The sequence below is a fragment of the Homo sapiens genome, chromosome 17, assembly GCF_000001405.40.
Source record: "Homo sapiens chromosome 17, GRCh38.p14 Primary Assembly".
Classification (NCBI taxonomy): domain Eukaryota; kingdom Metazoa; phylum Chordata; class Mammalia; order Primates; family Hominidae; genus Homo; species Homo sapiens.
This window is the reverse complement of record NC_000017.11, coordinates 73,988,871-74,011,056: the sequence shown is the minus strand read 5'-3', so window position 1 is coordinate 74,011,056 and position 22,186 is coordinate 73,988,871. Positions and strand designations below refer to the sequence as shown.

The following is a 22,186-nucleotide window of genomic DNA, read 5'->3' as shown; positions in this document are numbered from 1 at the left end:
CTGCACCCCCTGCAGCCTGTCTTGGAAAGTTTGGATGTCACCGGGTAGGCGTAGCTGTTGCTTTGTTCTAGGAAACTAAGAGTTGCTCCATAGGTTTGTTGGCTCCATAAATGTCTTGTTTTGAGAAGTGTCTCTTCATATCCTTTGCCCAGTTTTTGATGGGATTGTTTGTTTTTTTTTCCTTGTAAATTTGTTTAAGTTCCTTCTAGATTCTGGATATCAGACCTTTGCCAGATGGGTAGATTGCAAACATTTTCTCTCAGTCTGTAGGTTGTCTGTTCACTCTGATGATAGTTTCTTTTGCTGGGCAGAAGCTCTTTAGTTTAATTAGATCCCGTTTGTCTATTTTGGCTTTTGTTGCAATTGCTTTTGCTGTTTTAGTCATGAAGTCTTTGCCCATGCCTGTGTCCTGAGTGGTATTGCCTAGGTTTTCTTCTAGGGTTTTTATGGTTTCGGGTTTTACATTGAAGTCTTTAATCCATCCTAAGTTAATTTTTGTATAAGGTGTAAGGAAGGGGATCCAGTTTCAGTTTTCTGCACATAGCTTGCCCGTTTTCCCAGCACCATTTATTAAATAGGGAATCCTTTCCCCATTGCTTGTTTTTGTCAGGTTTGTCGAAGATCACATGGTTGTAGATGTGAGATATTATTTCTGAGGTCTCTGTTCTGTTCCATTGGTCTATATATCTGTTTTGGTACCCGTACCGTGCTGTTTTGGTTACTGTAGCACGTGTATCCCAGGACTTAAAGTTATAAAAAAAAAAAAAGAAGAGTTGCTCCAAGGAGGAGGCGGTTTCCAGGCAGGACCAAGAGGCCAAGTCTGCAGCCTGGGTCAGCTGGCACCTCCCAGCCTGTCCCTAACCAGGCATTCAGAAGACTGGAGCTTCTCCCATCCTACTTTCCACCCCCGACCCCTAGTCTGCTCGAATGAGTGAGTGACATTTCCCCCAACTCCCCCCTCCCGTGCTCCACAAAAACACAACAGATTTAATTTTCTACACATGTGAAGAAAATGTACTTTTCCAAACAGCCCCAGGGATCTGCAAAGAGGGAGAAAGCGAATCATCTTTCGTATTTTCTTCTATGAGGGAGCACAGCAGTAGGGATGGGAGAGAAGACATTGGCAGGGCTGAGAGCAGCCCTCAAGGCAGCCTCCTGGACACCAGTGCTGGGGGGCTGCACTGCTGGCATTCGGGAATGAGGGGTGAGGGGGTCACAGGGAGCCTGTACTTTCTATTCCCAGAGCCTGGCATCTGGAGGGTGCATGCAGGTCCCCACTGCCACCAGGCAGTCCCACAGTGGGGGTCTGCCAGGGTCAAGTCCCCTGGTGAGCCGGTGCTATAGGGAGGCCACCAAAATGGGACTGCTTGGGGACAAGCCCCTCCTCCTTCCTCCGGGCCCCAAACAGCAGGCGGGAGGTGAGGGTGGAGGGGAGAGTGGCCCAGGGAAGACAGAGCTGTGATTCTCAGGAAAAAGGTGTAGGTGTGGGGATCTGGCAACCCAACATCCCAAGCCTAAAGAATCAAAATGAGACAATTCCACTGCGTGACACCCTCCTTGTGACAGACGCCTAATTAAAACTGGACGGAAACAGGCAAGAAAACCACTTAATCTAGACTCTATTTGCCTTGCTAATTTAGGTGCCTGTGAATGTGTGTGCGTATGTGTTTTCCTGTTGGGTGAGTGTTTATGAAATCTTAATTAGGTTGTGCGTATTGGAACAGAGATGGAAATACGTCTTTTTTTTTTTTTTCTTTTCCTGTAATGGTCTCTTCCCCAGGGGACATTAAAGCTCCATACCCAATATTCTCTGAGTAGGGAAAGTAGTAATGGCCTTTGACGATGGGTTTCAGGGAGGAGGGAGAAGAGGCTCTCTGATTCAATCACAGATGGATGGCTGATAGCTTACATTAAAAAAAAAATCAAAACCTCAAATTGGACTCAAAGAAGCTATTTATAACCTGTCAGGAGAAGCTCGTATTTGAATATCAAACTCATTGAATACATTTTTTTTAACAACCTCTAATGTGGGAGTTCAGCAGGGACAGAAGGGACTCACTGTGCTGAGTGCATAGTAGGCGTTCAAGTGTTCCTTGAAGTGAACGGAAGGGAGCCCGTGAGGAAGGAGTCAGGGAAATCCCACAATATCCTCTTCTCTCCCTTCTCTGTCTCTGTCGCCCGGCCTGAGTCCCACTCCCGGAACTGAGGTCCGATGCCACTCTTCTCGGTGCATTTGAGGAGAGCGTGCTTAGGGAAGGCTGAAAGGGACAAGATTGCAGGAGAGAGGACGAGGGAGCAGGAGGCTTGGCTTAGATGACAATCTTGGGGCAATTCAGACTGTTACTCCTCAGGGGTGGCCCTTATAAAGCAAGCCAAGCTCCCTGGGCAGTTGCAATGGGTCCAGTTCAGCACTGGCCCATGTTCAGGGATGGTGCTAGAATGTGGTCAGCTGGGATGCAATCACCTCAGAGACACATCTTCAACTTGATCGTATGCGGATAAGGGGCTGTGCCATTTGTTTCTTGGATGACCTTTCTGGAATCTCTCTGTAGGCTCCCAGCACCTGCAGCTTGTGATCAAGGCTGAGATCTCCTGGAACAGAGTGGGGGATGGGGACATGGCCCTCGTGATGGGGGGTGATGAAGCCTGCCAGCCCTTCCCTTTTCAGGCAGTCCGTCGACTCATTTCCTGAAGAGGGCAGCACTTCTCACATTTTCCCCAGCATGCACACCCCCCGCACATCCTGTTAAAATGCAGATTCTGGCTGTTGCGGTGGCTCATACCTGTAATCCCAGCACTTCGGGAGGCCAAGGCGGGCACATCAGTCGAGGCCAGGAGTTCAAGACCAGCCTGGCCAACATGACAAAACCCTATTTCTACTAAAAATACAAACAGTAGCAGGCATGGTGGTGTGCACCTGCAGTCCTAGCTATTCGGGAAGTTGAGGCAGGAGAATCTCTTGAACCCAGGAGGTGGGGGTTGCAGTAAGCTGGCATTGTGCCACTGCACTCCAACCTGGGTGACGGAGCAATACTCCGTCTCAAAAAAATAAATAAATGAATAAATAAAGATTCTGATTTGATAGATCTGGGATATGGTGTGAGATTCTGCACATCTAACCAGTTCCCAGGTGAGGCCGAGGCCACTGGTCCAGGGACCACTCTTTGAGTAGCTGGGTCTAGAGACCAGCACAGTGACTCTGGAACAGGAACTCTCAGCAGCCTCACCCAGGGGGCTGGTGAAGACCCAGATGGCTGGGCCCCACCCCCAGGGTTTCTAACTTAGTAGGTATCGGATAGAGACTGAGAATTTGTCTCTCTAACATTTTAGAGAATGGTTGGTCTCTAGGAGTGCAGGGGCTGTTGGGGGAATAAGACAGGAAACAGGAGACAATGAACAGGGCACACCCTGTCCTGGGATCAGAGGAAGATGAACTGAAATCAGGCTTTGGAGAGTCAGTCAAATGCAGGTAAGCGGAGGGGAAGGGTGCATTCCAGATGGGGGACCATTTTGTGTAAGGCTGCAGAAGTATAAAAAAAAATACAGAAATTTTCAGCATTGAACTACCTTCTCCCTCCCAGTCCTTCTCTCCTCTTCAGGATCACAGAGGGGAAGGGCCATCCTCTGCTGGGACCAGGAGCAGCTCCACTGTGACCACACATTCCCACATTCCCAGAGTACCTGGAGAGGTGGTGGTGGTTGTTGTTTTTTCTGTTTTTTTTTTTTTTTTTTTTTTTTTTGAGACAGAGTTTTGCTCTTGTTGCCCAGGCTGGAGCACAATGGCGCAATCTCTGCTCACTGCAACCTCTGCCTCCCAGGTTTAAGCGATTCTCCTGCCTCAGCCTCCCGAGTAGCTGGGATTACAGGCATGCACTACCACACCCGGCTAATTTTTTGTATTTTTAGTAAAGATGGGGTTTCTTCATGTTGGTCAGGCTGGTCTCGAACTCCTGACCTCGGGTGATCCGCCCACCTTGGCCTCCCAAAGTGCTGGGATTATAGGTGTGAGCCACCACACCTGATCCCTGGAGAGCTTTTAAATATCATTGATGCTTCAGTCTCTTTTTCTGAGAGATTTTGAATTAATTGGTTTTAGGTGGGGCTCAGACATTTGTGTTTTATCTTTTTTTTTTTTTTTTCTCAAATAAAACTCCTTCCAAAATCAGGGCTGAGAACCGCTGGCCTAGACCCAAGCATACTGCCACGTGCCAGCTGCCGGTTAGTTGGGGAATCGGGCAGAGGATTGCCCCCTCCTTTATTCTCTGCATCCTTACAATGCCCCCTGCCCCAGAAGCAGTTAGCTGAGCAACTGGTAAGCACCTGCCCTGTTCCACCAGCATGGGGTGACCTACTTTTTTTGCCTGTGGCTTCTCTTGCACATGGGGACTCTGGGGACCGAGGGGCAGATGGAAATGTCAGCATGTCTGTATTGATGCTGCATTTGGGTGTCACCCAAGCACTTGTTTCCCTGTCAGATTCCGGATGCAGCGTTTAGGTGGTGAACCACTGCCGCCAGGCACTTGCTAGGGAGATCAGAGCACCCGGCAGCATCCTGAGACATCCTGGGTTCTGGCTGCCAAGTGCTGGCAGCTTGGGGCTCAGGGCAGAAGCGGGCCCGTGCCTGGACTGCTGCTTGAATGTGGACTCCGGGTGGACAGCAGTGTGCCTGAGGCAATCTTCACTCCCTGCAGGGCCTCCTTCACCTCCACGCTGGCTTTCCCAGCTACCAGAGAGCACGCGGGGGCACACCTGTCCACATCCAAGCTTGTCTGGGACACTGACCAGGGTGCTGTGATGCTGAGGGCTGCTTGCAGGTGTCCCCACTCAGTAGCCTTCATTGTGAGGGGACGCAGGGTCATGCAGGGCAAGACAGCCAGCCCCGGAGGGTCCATCTCGAATGGTTCCAGCATGGGACCAGACCCCTGGAAGCTGGCCCAGAGGCTCAGGACATGACACTCTTCTCCTTCTGCCTCTTCCTTTTAAGGAAAGATAAAGAGAGGCTGGATTCCATCCTTTCTGTGGGCCCAGTGAGGGCGTTTGGGCGGGACATTGCCCAGCCTTCTGATTTAGAAAGTCTTGCATGTCTGTCTCCGCCCCTGGGTGCCTCAGAGGTGTCTTCTGGGACTAGCAGACCAAAGGCAGGAGCAGGAGGAGCTGAGCCTGTGAGACGCACCAGCCCTGGGCATAAACCCAGGCATGAGCTTCCTTCTGGGAAGTGTTTCTGCTCACCGCGAGTCCCCAGCCACTGCCCTGTGTCACCCGTGTTTATTAACCTTTCTACATGCAGCAAAGAATATCGTGCCTCTCCACACAGCTCTCAAGAATTTCAATTATTTAGTGTCTGCCCCCACCATCCCCACTTTTCAGTAGGATCTGCTATGAACATCTCTTGGGCTGGGTTTCTGGAAGAATTGTTTGTCTCATTTTGACGAGAGAGTTTGAGAGAAGTGTGTGGACGTGGATGTACCTGGCTCAGGGCGGCTTTGGCCTCTCCTCCCCAGCCTTCCACTTCTCTAGAAATGTGAGTTTCCCCCCATCCTGCTCCCTAAGCGCTGCTACCAGTTCCAGAGCTGCTAGCTCTGGCCTCCCATTGGAATCACTGTTCCCCAGAAGTTTTGTCCTGGAAGGTTTGGGGGCATTTTTCTAGCCCACAGCCACTTCTCTCCCTGCTTAGAAAGGAAGGGTGGGAGGGGAGGTGAACAGGAAAGGGGCTGTTCTGGGCACACTGGAGGACACACTGATAGGAAAGGGGGCGGGGAGGGCTCCCCGCCCAGCAAAAGGTGCTGCTCGGGTTCAGCATCTTCTCCCTCCCTCCAGTTGGTCTCCAGAGAGTGTGCAGGTGTGTGTGTGAACAGGAAGTCATCCCTTGGGCTGGGCTTCAGAGGGTGGGTGGGTTTGTGGCCACGGGAGGGATGCCCCACCTGCCGCTGCAGGACTGTGCTGCTGGGCTGCAGGGGAGGAAACCATAGGTGCTGGAGCAGGAGGGGCTCCAGCCTCAGGTAGAGGCAACTGTCTTGAACATCCCTTCCAGCCACAAAAGCTAGGGCTTCTAAGGCTCTCAGAATAAGGAACAATGGAGAGGGCCTCCCAGTCCTCACCTTTGAACACTTAAACATCTATTGTTTTCCCTTCAGTGTAGAAAGAGGGAACAGCAGTGGTGGTGTAAACCTATGGAACCGGGTCAGGCTCCAGCCTAACTCAGTCCCCACACCTGCCTTCATCTCAGCCATACCCAGCACCCTCCTCCTCCCCAGCCTGCTCACACAGGCATGCTGCCAGGATGCCTCCAGCCTTGATCCTTTTCAAGGTTCAGCTCAAACGCCTTTAGCCTTCATTCGGTGTTGCCTTCATGCCTTCGGCCTCCTCTCCTGCCCCTCCCACCCTCCCAAGCAGGAAGCATTCCTTCTCCTTGGAATTCTCGGAACGCTTTCTCTACACTTTGTCAGGGTGCACATCAGTTTCTCCTTTTTATCCTAGTTTCCTACCTGCATATCTTGTATCATCTCCAAGTTGGCAAGCTTCTTAACGACAGGAGTCATAGCTCATCCGCCTTTATGGCCACACTGCACCCAGCCCTGCAAATGCTGATTGAATGAACAGAAACTCAACCTCATGACATTCTGGTATGTTTGTCATCGTGAGGTCGTTCATCTCTGCTTTGCTATTGAAGTCGGGGGCATCTCCTGGTCTAGGGAAGGTGGAGGAGAGAGATTCATTCTTCTGAGTTGTCAATTTACAGCTGTTTCCTGGGCGCTTACAGTGTGGTGTTGTTAGGTGCTGAGGGGCTACAGGCACAGACAGGACTCAGCCGGATGTCACTCTCTACCTCCCAGCCTCTCCCTCATGGATTAACAACTCCTCAGTCTAAGCTGATCCCCCATCTAGTCCAGCCACAGCCAGTGATACGGATCCTACCGTGAAGGCTTCTTGGTTCTCCTGGTACCTCTCCTAACCTTACCTCTTGACCCTCTTAGACCTGCCCTTCTTCTTTGTTTTGCATGTCTTTAATAAGAATCATTTATTTTCATTCTTAGTCACTCAGTTTGTCCATCCTCTGCACATTGTTTCATATACGAGTGTCTACTGTACTTGTGAACTTTAGAGGTTAAGGCCATACACCCCTCGCAAGCAACCTTTTGAGATTTACCCGGTAAAACATGCTGCTGCTTCCCCCAAGGTGGCTCGTGTCCATTGGTTTATTTGCCTTGTAGTATAGTTCTTGTATTAGATATTGTATTAGTATTGATAAAAGACTAAGCTGCTATAATACAATTGTTTAAGCAATAACGCAGTGGTTTAAATAACAAAGTGCCTTTCTCTCTTACCCAATACTTGAGGGGTGAGTGGTTTGGATTGCTGGGGCCTCTCTGCTCTTCATGGACATGGGAGAACAGTTTGCTCTGCTCTGTTGTTCTGCCTTCCCCTAGGTACTGTTGTCCTGCCTTCCCCTAGGTACTGTTGTCATAGACATGGCTCAAGCTGGGTTGAAGTAGGTTCAATCCAGTAGGAAGGAAAAAGAAAGCTTGGAGAAGGCTCTTGCTGAGGCGTTACTTCTCAGTGAGAGCTATCTTGGACATCGTGAGAGCCAGGTTTCTGTAGTGCTAGCACTGTGTAACAAACAGTCCCAGGAACCCTACATTATAGGTTGTGGTAGACAGAACCCTAAAAATGTTTCCAACATTCCCATCCTTTTTGTCAAACACTAATGTCTGAGCAAGGTTAACATAACCCCCACATGTCATGGGAGGGACCTGGCAGTGGGTAATTGAATCATGGGGATGGGTTTTTCCCATGCTGTTCTCGTGATAGTGAGTAAGTCTCATGAGATCTGATGGTTTTATAAAGGACAGTTCCCCTGCACATGCCCTCTTGCCCGCCACCATGTAAGACAAACCTTTGCTCCTCCTTCGCCTTCTGCCATGATTGTGAGGCCTCCCCAGCCATGTGGAACTGTGAGCCCATTAAACCTCTTTCCTTTATAAATTACTCAGTCTCAGTTATGTTCTTATAGCAGCGTGAGAATGGACAATACACTCGGGCTATCTAGGTGGACCCTGTGTAATCAAACAAGCCCTTGATAGCAGATGGAAAAGCAGAAGAAAGGAGAGATTCCAAGTATGAGAAGGCTTCAATGTGCCATTGCTGCCTCTGAGATGTCAGAACCAGAGAGAGAGGCCTCTGGATGCTGAGAGCAGCTCCCAGCCATCAGCAAGTAAAAAAATGAGAATCTTAGTTCTGCATCCACAAAGAACTGAATTTAGCCAATGATCTGAATGAGCTTGAAAGAAAATTCTTCCCACAGCCTCCCAGTAAAAGCCCAACCAGCAGACACCTTGATTTTGTCCTTCTGAAGCCTGGAGCCAAACTGGACTTCTGACTCACAGAGCTGTTGGGATCATAGATTTGTGTTGTTTTAAGTGGCTAGGTTTGTGGTAATTTGTTATGGTATCAATAGAAAACCAGTACAGAAGTCTTAAGTCATATTTTATTTCATGTTAGTGGTTGACAGATTGGCTGCGATTGGGCTGAGCAGGCTGGGTGGGGCTGAGCCAGGCTGACTGCAGGCTTCATGCACCTGGGCATGCTCTTCACATAGCAATGACAGAGGCACAGGAGGCCAAACTAAGGCTCACAAGCACACATGAAGCCTCTGATGCATCAGAGCAGTTGACATCCCGTTGGCCCAAGCAAATCACACGGCGAAGCCCAGCATCATGGGGCGGAAAAGGTATTACAACTCCTCTGGGTGGGAGGGGCACTGCTAAGTCACCCACCAAGAGCCAGGATATTAGATTCTGTTACCAGGAGGGTGTGGAAAACTGGGGACAACAATCCACTCTATCCACACTCCCTCCTGAAAATTCAAGCCAGGTTTGGTTCCTCATTCCTGAGCCTGTGATCCCAGCTACCCAGGAGGCTGAGGTGGGAGGGTTGCTTGAGCCTAGTGAGCTGCAGTGAGCTGTGATCATGCCACTGCACTCCAGCCTGGGCAACAGAGAAAGATTCCATTTCTTAAAAATAACAAAAAAAAAAAAGAAAAAGAATATTCAGTGTGCTTCCTCATTCTGCTCTATTTTATCCTAGCACTCTGCCTTCCAACATACAATTCACCTACTTCTTGTGTGTGTGTGTGTGTGTGTGTGTGTGTGTCTCCACACTAGAACACAGTAAGCCCCATGAAGGTGGGAAGTATTGTCTGTTTTGTTTTCTTATATATCCTAATCACTTAGATCAGGCTTGGAACATAAACTGAAGTCAATACATGTTTGTTGAATGAATGAATGATCTCAGTTGTGGCACCACCACCAAAGTCCTCATCATGGTCTGTGGTTCATTTTGTGTAGAAAAAGCAGCTCCTACCCCCTATACCCTAGTGAGGTGGACAGAAGCCTCATCACACTGCAGAAACAAACTTAATTCCCAGCCCTGGTTTGGAACTTCTGATGGTCTCAAGGGGTTGTAGGAAATTCTAAAAACAACTCTCCAAAAAATCCATTGTGATAGCAACCTTTTCCTCCCTCTGGCTGGTTATTGGAGGGGCCCATGTCTATAAATTCAAACAATAGGGCATGCCAAGTCCCCAAAGTCTTCACTCCTGGAGCTAAAATAATAATCAAGACTTGTTTTTGGCAGGATTTTCTGGATACCACTTAGCTTCTCTTGGGCATGAAAGGATGGGCAGTCCCTGCCAAATGTAACCACCATACCGAAAAGTTGGCCAAGGTTGTTAGCGCCTTTCTTTCCGAGTCAGCTAATTGGTGGATTTAACTGGTGTTGCGTGCCAGGCGTGGGCTTCTGTTAACCCTTTCAGTCCTCAGAAGCATAGATGTTGTTACTCCTTGTATAGATGGGAAATGGACTCACTTTTCCAAAGCTGAGCAGACAGAAGTGATGGTGCAGGGCTTCAAGGTCAAGCCTGTGACTCCAAGGCCAGTGCTCTTTCTACCACTTCGTTTATCTGGAAGATTCTAGAATTTCTAAAACTGGACTTGCCCAGGGGGTGACCAGAACAGTTCTGGGCCCTGGGGGCTGGCTGGTGGTGATGTGTACACATCTGTGTGATCTTCCATAACCCATGACCTGGCTTTTTGTGTACCCTTAACCTTGTGTGCTCTGAACTTTCCAGGACTCCCAGGCTCTGAATATAAAGGCAGTGCTAAGGCCCTGAAGGTGGTGGTGGGGGGGTGTGTACAAGAGCACAGGTGAGGGACAGAGGCTGGCTTGATAACACGGCCTTGACTGGGAACCACTGCCCTATGGACCTGGACCCATCATCATCATCACCACCTGTGATATTAGAATATCATCTATGCTATGTTGGTTTTTGTCCATGGTTCCTGGCTCATGACTCCCATGGTCCTTATTATACTGTTGGGGGGCTTTAGGCCTCAAAAGCAGGCCTCGAAAAACAGAATCTCTCTCTCTGAACTTCTCCTGCCCTCCTTTTACCTGGCCAAGGCAGGACTCCAGTCTTCCCCAGCTTTCTGTCTTGGGGCCAGCCATAAAGAAATTCTCTGACCTTCCTTGTCTGATTATAAGTCAATAGGGGCCCCCATTTCAGAAGAGGTCCTGCCCTATACCCTGGAGGAAGGAAGGCTGCACAGAGAGGCCAAGAAGAATCTGAACAGACAGGCCTGGCTGGGTTTTCCCCCTCAGTCTGTTAGTATTAAGATCAAACCCTTTTTGTTTAGTCACATATGGTTGTCTATATGGTTGTCAATCATGCCTATCCAATGAAGTCTCCATAGAGGGCCAAAGAGGACAGAGTTTGGGGAGCTTCTGGATAGCTGAGCATATGGAGGTTTCAGGAGGAAGGTATGGAAACTCCACACTCCTTCCCCCATACCTTCACCTGTGCATCTCTTCATCTCTATCCTTCATCTGTCCTTTAGAATATAGCGGTGAATGTGGTGTTTCCCTGAGTTCTGTGAGCTGCTCTAGCAGATTAATCGAACCCTAGAAGAGGATTGTGGGAAGCCAAGTTTACAGCCAGCAGGTCAGAAGCCCAGGTGAAACAAACTGGGGCTTGTGATGGGCACTGGAAATGTGGGGGTCACTCTTGTGGGACCGAGCCCCCAACCTGTGATCTGATGCTATTTCCAGGTAGATGGTGTTGGGATTGAATTGGGGTGGGAGGATACCTAGCTGATGTTCCCTGCGGAATTGATGACTTGCTTGGCATGTGGGGAAAAAGCCCACATGTCTGGGCACAGAAATCTTCTGTGTTGATTGTGATAGGAGGAGAGAGGAAAAGCAGCTTAAGTTTTTTCCACACAGACCATCATGACACGATTACTAATAATATTTATTGAGCATTTGCTGCACACCAGGCATCCACAGAAAAACCCCTAGTGTAGAGAGTAGAATGATGCTCGTTTTGCAGAAAAGGAAACTGAGGCATAGTTCAGGATCCTGACTAAGAATAGCCATTCAGTCAGTGTCGGAGCTGGGGTAGGGCTCAGCTGGCAGATTCCAGGGCCCTGAATCGTAATCTCTATGCTACATAATATCTGGAGAAAACAGATATTATGCTTTCATTGAAAATGCTACATTTATTGAGTGCTCCAGACTCACTCACTCAGAGAAGGGAACAGGAGGGCAGGGTGCCAGGTGACCTAGGATCAGAGAGGCCCTGATCTCCCCGGGATGGGGGGTGGGGGGAGTGATACCAGCAGTTGTATTAAAATGCAAATTTCTGCCTTGCTTGCTGGTTTATCATCTGACTCGTTATACAATTTGCCAGTTATAGAAGAAAAATTATCATAATATGGCCCTAGGGAATGGTTGTAAAAAGGAGACCAAACGTTACTTATCGGCCGTTCCACTACAATTATCTTCCGCGTTTGTTCTTTTTCTCTCCAGAAAAATGAAACCATCAATGCCAGCGACAGGGTGCTGACCAGGCGGAGGCAGCACGGGGGAGCACAGAGGCTGGGTGTTTACTTAGCTTCCTCCCTCTGTACTCTCTCCACCCGGCCCCTCAGCCCACCGCTCTTCTCTTCCTGGGGCAGTTCCCTCTGCTGAGCGGGCTGGATGGAGATTTTCCAAGCAGGAAGAGGAGTAGAGCCTCGGTAGATTAAGTTCAGCTGTCTCCTTCATTGTACTGGCTCAGGGCTGGCCGGGATCCTCTCTGCTAGGGGCTTGAGGTGGAGGCAGGACGGCTCAGGAGGACCCACTGAGGATCATTCTGCAGTCTCTGCAGGTGCTGGTCAGGTTCTCAGCGCTCAGGCTGCAGGTAGCTGGGCTTCCACAAGGGGGCAGGTGCTCTGCGGGGTGCACCCCTGGATCACCCGTGCCCTGGCAATAATTCATGCTCCTGAGATACCTTTCCAATCGGTATCTTCCAGCCTTCCCCTGCTCCCAGGCTCCGTGTGGGCAGGAGCTGAGTCTTCTTCAACTTGATTCTCTCTGCATCTAGTCCAGTGCTTGGAACAACATAAGCAGGAAATAAATATTGGATGAATGAATGAAAGTGTCTGTCTGCAGGCACGTGTCTGTGTATTTTCAGGTTATTCTAAAGTTGTCCTCCCCATGGGCTGCCTTCTTTTAGCTCCAGCCAAATCTTCTCCAAGCCCTGCAGCCTCCGGTGATTTATCAGGCTTCTCTACCCAGCATATTAAAACAGTCAGGGGAGCAGATAATGATGCTCTCCAGGCTGCCCTTGCATACCGTTGAGATATTTATGGTTTTTACAAACCTTGGGCTTCCCTATCATTCTTGTGCACTCCACTATGGACTGAGAACTTCCTCTGTCTTCATTCCTGGGGTACCTGCTCCTCGATTATTTATGCCACAATATGAAGGGCAAACTTTCTGTGCTTCCTCAAGTTAAATTTACAAAGGACAAATTCTAAGCAGTGCACCAGGCACTCTGTGACTATGTCTAGCAGTGAGGCCTCCAACATCCAGTGTCCTGGACTCTCTGCAAAGAGAGTCGAGGCATGGATTATTTGTTTTCTCACTTCTTTTTTTTTTGTTTTGTTTTGTTTTTTGAGACAGAGTCTTACTCTATCACCCAGGCTGGAGTTCAGTGGCATGATCTCAGCTCACTGCAACTTTCGCCTCCCAGGTTCAAGTGATTCCTCTGCCTCAGTCTCCTGAGTAGCTGGGATTACAGGTGACCATCACCACACCTGGCTAATTTTTGTATTTTTAGTAGAGATGGGGTTTTGCCATGTTGACCAGGCTTGTCTCGAACTCCTGAGCTCAGGTGATCCACCCGCCTCAGCCTCCCAAAGTGCTGGGATTACAGGCGTGAGCCACCATGCCTGGCTGCTTTCATGCAACTTCTTAGCTCAAGCTGGAGGAGCCAAATGCTGGAATCTGGGGGTTAGATGGCTTAGAACACACATTTCTAGTTTGATTTCTGGCTGTCCACCCCCATTAGAAGCTAAAAATGTGAGTATTCACATTCTCGGGTGGCAGGCGATCTAGAAGCCTCGTAGAGAAAGCAGTGCCTTGTTTGTACCTCTAAGCCTTTTGTCTGAGGGAACAGGCATCTCCCCATGGCCAGAAGGTTTTTCCAAGAGGAAGATGAGAATGTGGAGTAAGTGGATGCATGCCATCCAGTGACCATCTCACAGGTGCTTGGAGCCAGGGTCAGCAAACACAGCCCACCAGCCAAAGCCAGCTCGCCATCTTGTTTTTATAGCCTGCGTGATAAGAATAATTTTTTTTTTTACTTTTTCAAATGGTTGAAAAGCCATCAAAAGAGTATTATTCTATGACATGTGAAAATGATATCAAATTCATATTTCAGTGTCCATAAATAAAGTTTTATTGGAACACAGCCACGCTCATTCATGTACATATTGTTGAGGGCTGCTTTGGCATTACCACAGCACAGCTGAGAAGCTGTGACAAAGATGGTGGGCCTGCAGAGCCTGTACAATTTACCATCTGGTCCTTTACAGAAAACATTTGCTGACCCCTGCTTTGGAGACAAAATCACCCCTCTGCCCTCACCCCATCTCCTGGTGTGTCACCTGAACAAGCTGAACATCATGGGAAATTTTCTTGCCTCTTAGGTAGATTTTCTCCTACCTAAACTTATGCTTTTCAAAATGAAGAGAAAGAGAGATATTGAAGGATGAAGCTGGGAAGTAGTAATTCTTGGAATATCATATTTCTTGTGACCTGGCTCAAGTCATCTTAATTTCTCTCTGGGCCTCATCCTTCTCCCCCTGAAAAATAGGGCTGCTGGGAGTGAGGGGCGAGCCAGACGCACGGCCTTGTCAGTGTTCATCTTGGAGCCAGACGTCTGAGGACTGGCCTTACTTAAAGTGCTTCATCTGTGCCTGCCTTGGGTGTCCTTGTCCTAGTCAGACATGTCCCGATTTTTGTTTTTGAAGATATATATCATAACAACATGCATATGTTTTTAAATATCCCATTGAAAGACATTTATGGCCAGGCGTGATGGCTCACGCCTATAATCCCAGCACTTTGGGAGGCTGAGGTGGGTGGATCATGAGGTCAGGAGTTCAAGACCAGCCTGGCCAACATGGTGAAACCTCACCTCTCCTAAAAATACAAAAATTAGCCAGGTGTGGTGGTGGGTGCCTGTAATCACAGCTACTTGGGAGGCTGAGGCGGGTGGATCACGAGGTCAGGGGTTCAAAACCAGCCTGGCCAACATGGTGAAACCTCGTCTCTACTAAAAATACCAAAAAATTAGCCGAGCATGGTGGTGGGTGTCTGTAGTCCCAGCTACTTGGGAGGCTGAGGCAGGAGAATTGCTTGAACCCGAGAGGCGGAGGTTGCAGTGAGTCGAGATCGCGCCGCTACACTCCAGCCTGGGCGACAGAGCAAGACTCTGTCTAAACAACAACAACAACAACAAAACAACAACAACAACATTTATTTAGCACCTACCATGGGCGAACGTTGCACTGTACACTAAGGCGATGCGGGGAAATCAGTGATACAAAGGCCCTGTGCTCAGAGAGCTTTAACACGCGCGATGCTATTATGTGCACACTCGTCACAGGACAAAGACTCAGATGGCTGAACACCCATTGCAGTGTGCCCACCACTTTGCGTTCACAATTCTCACATCCACCCCCTGCAGGAAGACAAAATTAGCTCCCTTTACAGAAGAGGGAACCAAGGCTCAGTACCCAAGCTTCCCTCATCTAGTGGGTGGTCTCCAGATCTGTTGGGTCCAAAGCCCAAGTCTGTCCCACTGCTGATAAGAGTGCACAGCTTCTGCCTCCGAAAAAGAAAGATGGCGCTGCTGTTGCTCCCTAGACTCAGCTCCGCGGAAGGGGAAAAGGAAGGGTGAGCTGGTTTATTCTGGGGAAATCTCCCCATTCATTCTTAGGGTCCACTCAAGAAAGAAATTTTCTATACTCTCTGGTCCCCAGGGAGCTCTGCTTCACTTCCAGATGAGCAGCTGAGACCAAAGAAACACCAGGAAATGTACTTATTTCATTCCACCTTGAATTACTCCCCGGCACGTCTGGCTTATAAAATCCTTGGCTGCAGGGATAGTCTCTCAGTCACCCTTAGATCTCCCAAACACGCCAGGTGCGGTGGCTCATCCCAGCACTTTGGGAGGCTGAGGCGGGCGGATCACCTGAGGTCAGGAGTTTGAGACCAGCCTGGCCAACATGACGAAACCCCGTCTCTACTAAAAATATAAAAATTAGCCAGGCGTGGTGGCGCATACCTATAATCCCAGCTACTAGGGAGGCTGAGGCAGGAGAATCACTTGAACCCAGGAGGCAGAGGTTGTAGTGAGCTGAGATCGTGCCACTGTACTCCAGTCTGGGCTACAGAGCGAGACTCCATCTAAAAAAAGAAAAAAATCCTAAACAAATATTAAATACTTACTGTATGCCAGGCCTTATGCTAGCTGTGGGACACAGTGCTTTGTATATGGTAAGTGTTCACAGAATGCTTATTATGTAAATGAGTCTCTGCTGATTAAGTTCACATGAATGCCAGACTTTTTCTAGGAGCTTCCAGGAGATACTGGAGTCCTTGAAAAAAGAGGGAGGACACGGATATTCAGGGAATCTGTATTTCTCTCTTCACCTATTCCATCCTGCATCTCTGCTCTGAAAGGGATGTTCTCTCCATCGCTGGGTGGGGCCAGCAAGTTCATTCTCGGAGTTGCTGCTGCTTCCAAAGGCCATTTCTGAAAAGCCACAAAGGAGGTGAGGTTTCTCCTCCAGTCTCTTTCTCTTGATTTTTTAGCCTGTCCTGGAATCTCACTTTCACTGTAACCTCATTACCATTTTCAGTCCTCATGGACTCTTATTTTTTTTTATTTTTATTATTATTTTTTTTGAGATGGAGTCTCGCTCTGTCGCCCAGGCTGGAGTGCAGTGGCACAATCTCAGCTCACTGCAAGCTCCGCCTCCTGGGGTCATGCCATTCTCCTGCCTCAGCCTCCTGAGTAGCTGGGACTACAGGTGACTGCTGCTATGCCCAGCTAATTTGCTGTATTTTTAGTAGAGACGGGGTTTCACCGTGTTAGCCAGGATGGTCTCGATCTCCTGACCTCATGATACACCCACCTCGGCCTCCCAAAATTCTGGGATTACAGGCGTGAGCCACCGCACCCGGCCTATGGACTATTTTTAAGAGTCAAAAATCAAATGATCCCAAATAACAAAGACTTCAAGTATTACTAGGAGAGGATCCACCATTTCCCTTCATGCTCTGGCAATAGAGGAGGCATGGTGTGTCCAGAGAGAAGTCAGGCTTCCTTCCCCTCCAGCCTCTGAGAGCCTCCTTCCATGCTGGGTCTATTGGTAAAGTCTTCAGGCTGGCTGTCCCTCCTGAACCCTCTAGGTCATGCATGGACACTTGGTTGCTGAACATTTTGTCAAAACAGTACTCAGTGTCAGGGGAACCCAAAGGAAAGAAAAATGGCTGCCGGAGCCAGGTGACCCAGCTTGCAGCCGACGGTTTGCTCTCTGAAGCTCTTGGGCCCTCTTCCATCTTCCTCCCAGCATGATCCAGGTAGTGACATCACCTTGGCATCTGCCATCAGGAGTCCAAACCTGCCATCAGGAGTCCAAACCAGGGAAGGTCCAAGAGGTGAAGGCCAGAGGCTCATCTCTGTATTCCAACGTCCAGTCTGAGGTCACACTGCCACCTTGGACAATTGACAATGGGTGGCCGTGGTACTCCATGCAGAGAGGTGGGCTTCATACCTGTGGATCCACCAGGACAGCATCTCAGAACACCCTCAAGTCAACCCAACATCCATCCAAGAGATGGCCACAAATGCTAAGTGGCCATTTTGTAACTATGACTTGTCTCAAGAGTCTGGGGTGGTGGACAGAGCTCCAAAGAGAAAACACCTCCTTAACTTTCAAAGACGGTACCCTGCCACCTCTGTCCCCAGGATGTCTCTGTCTCCTCCTCTTTTCAGCTCACACAATTGTCAAAGTGCAGCTTGCTCCCCAGACACTGTCCTACTACTTTACAGGCAAACCCTGCCTTGCCGAACCTGAGAAGGGGGCAAAGTGTTTGCGGGTCCCAAGGTTACTCCCCAAAGGCTCTTAAGAACATTAAGAGAGTGTGTGAAATCATGAGCACGAAATTTTCACAGCTGCACCCACACCCTGTGTTCTCATCCCTCCCGGGTTCCATCCACTTATTTTTCTTGACCTCAGTGGGGTAGACTGAGTCACCCCATACTAGTCTTTGGGATTCATGACAATCTGCACCTGTGGATCTGGAAGGGTCTAAGTGCATGTTACAAGCAGGCAAGAAAGACCAAAGAAGAGAAGAGAATGCTGGGTCCCTCATTCTCAGCACTCCTGACACCTGGGGCCCACCCATTCTCTGTGGTGGGGGCAGGGGGCAACCTGTGAACGGTAGGATGCTGCATCCCAGAGCAGCATCCCTGGCCTGTACCCACCAGATGCCAGTAGCATCCACCCCCCAGTTGTGACAACCAAAAATGTCTCCAGACATTGCCAAATGTCGTCTGGGGGACAATGTCACCCCTGGTTGAGAACTGATGAAAAGAAGAACAAAAATGCTTAGAGGGCTTCATTTATTTAGAATTCATGACTGTGCCACGGAAGCTTCCTGCTGGCCCCCAGCCCTTGACCTTGGGCTGTTCCTTTTACATCGGTCTCTTAGCCCTGCTCACCTATACCCTACACACACAAACACACGCGCACACACACACACACACACACCCCTCCCCAGGCAGGCTTCATGTCCCCATTTCACCAAACTCCCAAAGGAAAGCTCTCTTGGCATAAGCTCTGGAAAGTGCGGTGGGGAATGCTGATGAAGGAATCAACAGGGTGGAGGGTGAAAGGGCCTGTCGTGGAGGGGCGAGCAGGCTGGCCGGGGGCCGTGATGGCCAAAACTGTAGGATGTCCTAGTTCTGAGAGAGGTGGGATGACTGAATAGGACACAGGAGGTAGCTGCGTTTGTTGGAACTTAAAATTGAAGCCATTATCTTCTTCGACCCTCTGACAAATCGACTATTTGATTAACTGTGAATCTCTTTGCCTTTTAAATGTTTGACTTTATAAACGGTTGACTCCGGGTTAATGCATGCCGTTGTCTTTCTTTCCTTCCTGGGTTGGCCTTCTCCTGGCCAGGGGTGTGGACAGCCGGAACCTTGCCCTCTGAAGGGCTAAAACGCAAGTGGAAAAGGCAAGGGGGCCCTTACAGGCTGTTCTGTTGGGTGAGAAAAGGCTCATAATATCATGTTAATTAAAAAGAGAAGGACTCAAAAGTGCATATAGTATAATCCTAACTGTGCTTTATAATGTAGACACATAGATGTTCGTGCGCGTACACACACGCACACACACACACATGCGCACACGAAAAGTCTCAAGGAGAATACACCAAAACGTTAACAGTATTTACCTCTAGCAGTGGATAAGCCGATTTTAGTATTGTTCCTTATACTACTACGCATGCTTCAGGTATTCTACAATCACTATGTATTAACTTTATAGCTTGAAAATAAAAACCATATTAAATGTTTTTTGTGTGTGTGTGTGAGAGACAGGGTCTCGCTTTGCTGCCCAGGCTGGAGTTTAGTGGTTCAGTCATCGCCCATTGCAGCCTCAACCTCCTGGGCTCAAGCGGTACCCCCACCTCAGCCTTCCAAAGTGCCGGGATTACAGGCATGAGCCACCACACCCAGCCTAAATGCTCTTTATTTTGTGTTATCATTATTATTATTACTATTATTATTATTATTTAGTGCCTGCAGAGGCTAAGAGGAATATTCATGTCTTTTCTGGAAGGGAATAATGACACTAAGACAGCTGACCCTGGGATGGGGTGAGGCAAAGGCAAGTCACATTGTTTGGGGTTCCTGTTCCTGCAACCCCCCAGAAATGAGAGGGTGCACATCTTGGGTGATGTCTGATGTGTGTCCATAGCCTCTGCTCATCTTTGGGGGCATCTGGAAGCCCAGAGCTCAGTACCCAGGGGCTGGAGTAAAGTTAGCCCCCTGCAAAGCTGCAGTCACTCCACCAGGGTCTCTGCCACTCCTGTGGCCAGCTGCAGGGGAGAGACCCAGCTGCTGGGAGGAGGAGCCCCACACCCATTACAGACAAATAGCACAAGATCAAGGGAGGGTAATGGCCCAATTTCACTGTTGAGAATGCAGTCCTGACGGCAGGGCGTGGCCTGGTAAACACTCCACAGTTGATTTGCAAGTCAGATTCCTAGGGCACCTCTGAGTCCTCCGGGTTCTAAAGTGAGTCCACCACTTCCTGCCAGGAGTGTTGGAAGAAGGTGGTCTCGGAGGGGCCAGCGAAGAGAGTTGGGCACTTGTCCACCCAAGTCCCTTGTGGTTGGCACTGGGCCCACCTGTTGGGGGAATAAGGTCAGAACGTTGTCCCTTGGCCACTGTGCAGCATCTCAATGAGTCAGATGTGGGGTGGGGTGGGGTGCGCTCCCACCTCCCACCCCTGTTGCTCCCCTGGTCCCAGGGCCCCTGCTGGCAACTATTAATATTAAGAGATGCCAGAATACAGTCCATATCTTCATACCCTGCTTAGGCCACTAACATTAGATCTGTGTAATTTGGGGTCCTTCCCAGGCCTTGGGCAGCCTCTTCTGGGGTCTCTGAGAACCTTCCAGAGCAGCAGGTTGCCCTCCTTCAAGGGATGGTTCCTGGGGCCTCGCCATCCTGCTGGTGGCTAATTCTGAAGCATGTGTGGTGGTGACCAGGCTATAGGAGGTGCCCAGGGGGCAGGTGGGGAGGTCAGGAGGAGGCCCGGCCAGGGGCTCTCTGCCCTCCATGCCGCACCCCCTAACGAGCATTCTTGCTGCCTACGTATTTTCTAATTCTACTTAGATTGTTTATATATATATTTTTTCTTAAAATAATTGAAAAAATACCCAACCAGAATATGTCTCAGTTCAAATCAACAAACATTTCTGGAGAAGCCACCACATATTATAAACATGCTGAGCACTGGGTGGGAATACGGGGAAGGTCTGAGATAGCAGAAGACAAAGGTCTCTGGCCTCTAGGAGCTTCCAGTTTTCAGGCTTAAGGAGCTACAGAAGTGTCCACATGTAGAGGGAGCAATTCAACTGGGAAAATCTGGGAGGGCTTCCTGATGGAAGTGTCATCTCAAAGCACAAGTAAGGTTTCCATAGTCCTGGAAGCAAGCGAAGGGAGGGGTGGTTGCATTCCATGCACAATCCCAGCAGCATGGAAGCTCAGCCTGTTCACCCGCGGCGCTGGAAGGGGAGCGCTCAGAGGATTCTCTAGGGCTGGTCCCAACTCCTGCCAGCGGGCTTGGGGCCCCACAGCCAGTGTCCCTCCCACCCAGATATCCCAGCCCCAACAGCAGCATTCCCATTTCACTTCCCTCCTGGGAAATGGTTACTGACCCTGAGCTCACCAGCCTTCCCCAGTCAGGTGTTCCATGTACAGTCAACTCCATTAATTTGGAAATTGTGATGATTTCATTGGAGCGAGGACGATGTTTGGCTTTGCATTAAAACTCTGGCTTATAAGCAAATTATTTCAGTAAATAAAATTTCAAGGCCAGCTGCTTGTCCTGCTCCAGCAAGCCCTTGATTCAGGCAAGGGCACTCCAGAGGGAGGACAGTGACGGACAAGAAGGAAGGCGCTGGGCTGGGCGTCTTCTTGTAGCTGGCCTGCCCTGGCGAAGCCGGGACCTTGTGGAGCAAACCTTGCCTCATCTGGAAAGTGTCAGCGGGTCCCAGAAGCGCGATCCCTGCCTGGGCTTCCTGGGAGTGTGTGTGGGTTGCTGGGGTAGGTCTAGCCACACCTCACTGACCCGCCTCCCATGCTTACACGTGGACATGAGAGAGGCCCCGTCTGCGTGTCTGTGTGCCTGTCTATCCCCACTCACAGTCAAGAGCTTTAGCGCCGACACCTGCTTTGGAATCCTGACTCCACTACTTACTAGCTGGTTGACCTTGGGCAGGAAATTTTCCCTTTCACCCATTTCTAAATCTGAGTGTTTACTAACTTCCAGCCACTGGGCTTCTCCAATAGAAGGTTATTAGTATTTCCACTTTGCAGATGAGGAAAACTGAGGTAGGGAGAAAGAGCGAGCAAGCAAGAGACAGACACACACACACACACAGAGCGAGTGAGCGAGCGCCAAGTGGTTTGCCTAAGATCACACAGCTGGTAAGGTGCCCGAGGGCCCTTTATCTTACAAGGGTGCTGCGAGAGTCAAGTGAGTAGCAGAGGTAAAGCTCCCGCATCTGGCACATAATGAGTGCTGGATAAATGGTCGTTATCATTGATATTCTATTGTCTCTACTCCCTGCCCCACCCCAGCAGAGCCTCCGTGGAGAGTGGGAGCGCAGGGCCATCTGTCCGTCCTGGGAGGCTGCACAGGTGAGGCTGGAGCCCAAGGACCAGGGCGGTGGAGAGGAAGGTTTTCTCCCTCCCAGCAGTGCTCTGATTGGAGCCCATTTACATCTTAAAACCCAACTTAGAAAACCACAATCCATCAGCCAGTGATGGTGTAAATTGCTTTGCTAAATATATTTCTGGGTACATGGTAAGTAAAAATATCATGAATTTAATAAGCCTTGGAATTCACATTTTTCCAATCCTAATTAAGTTTCTCCTCTGCTTTGGACGTGCTCCTCTCTTCGGTAAGATTGGGAAGGGAAGGCGTCTGTGCAAGGGCTGGGTCCAGCCTAGGTGCTTTACATCCGCTGACGTATTGCCTCCTTTCAGGGGCCCCGT

At 49.5% G+C, this 22,186-nt stretch overlaps 2 annotated features.

Annotated features, from left to right (window-relative positions):
* Window positions 1,292-1,792: an enhancer, noted in NCBI's record as "H3K4me1 hESC enhancer chr17:72005404-72005904 (GRCh37/hg19 assembly coordinates)". NCBI's record gives its function as "activates a minimal SCP1, AML or CMV promoter by ChIP-STARR-seq in primed H9 embryonic stem cells {active_cell/tissue: H9 hESC(primed)}" and the evidence as "EXISTENCE:reporter gene assay evidence [ECO:0000049][PMID:30033119]".
* Window positions 4,367-5,363: an enhancer, noted in NCBI's record as "H3K4me1 hESC enhancer chr17:72001833-72002829 (GRCh37/hg19 assembly coordinates)". NCBI's record gives its function as "activates a minimal SCP1, AML or CMV promoter by ChIP-STARR-seq in naive H9 embryonic stem cells {active_cell/tissue: H9 hESC(naive)}" and the evidence as "EXISTENCE:reporter gene assay evidence [ECO:0000049][PMID:30033119]".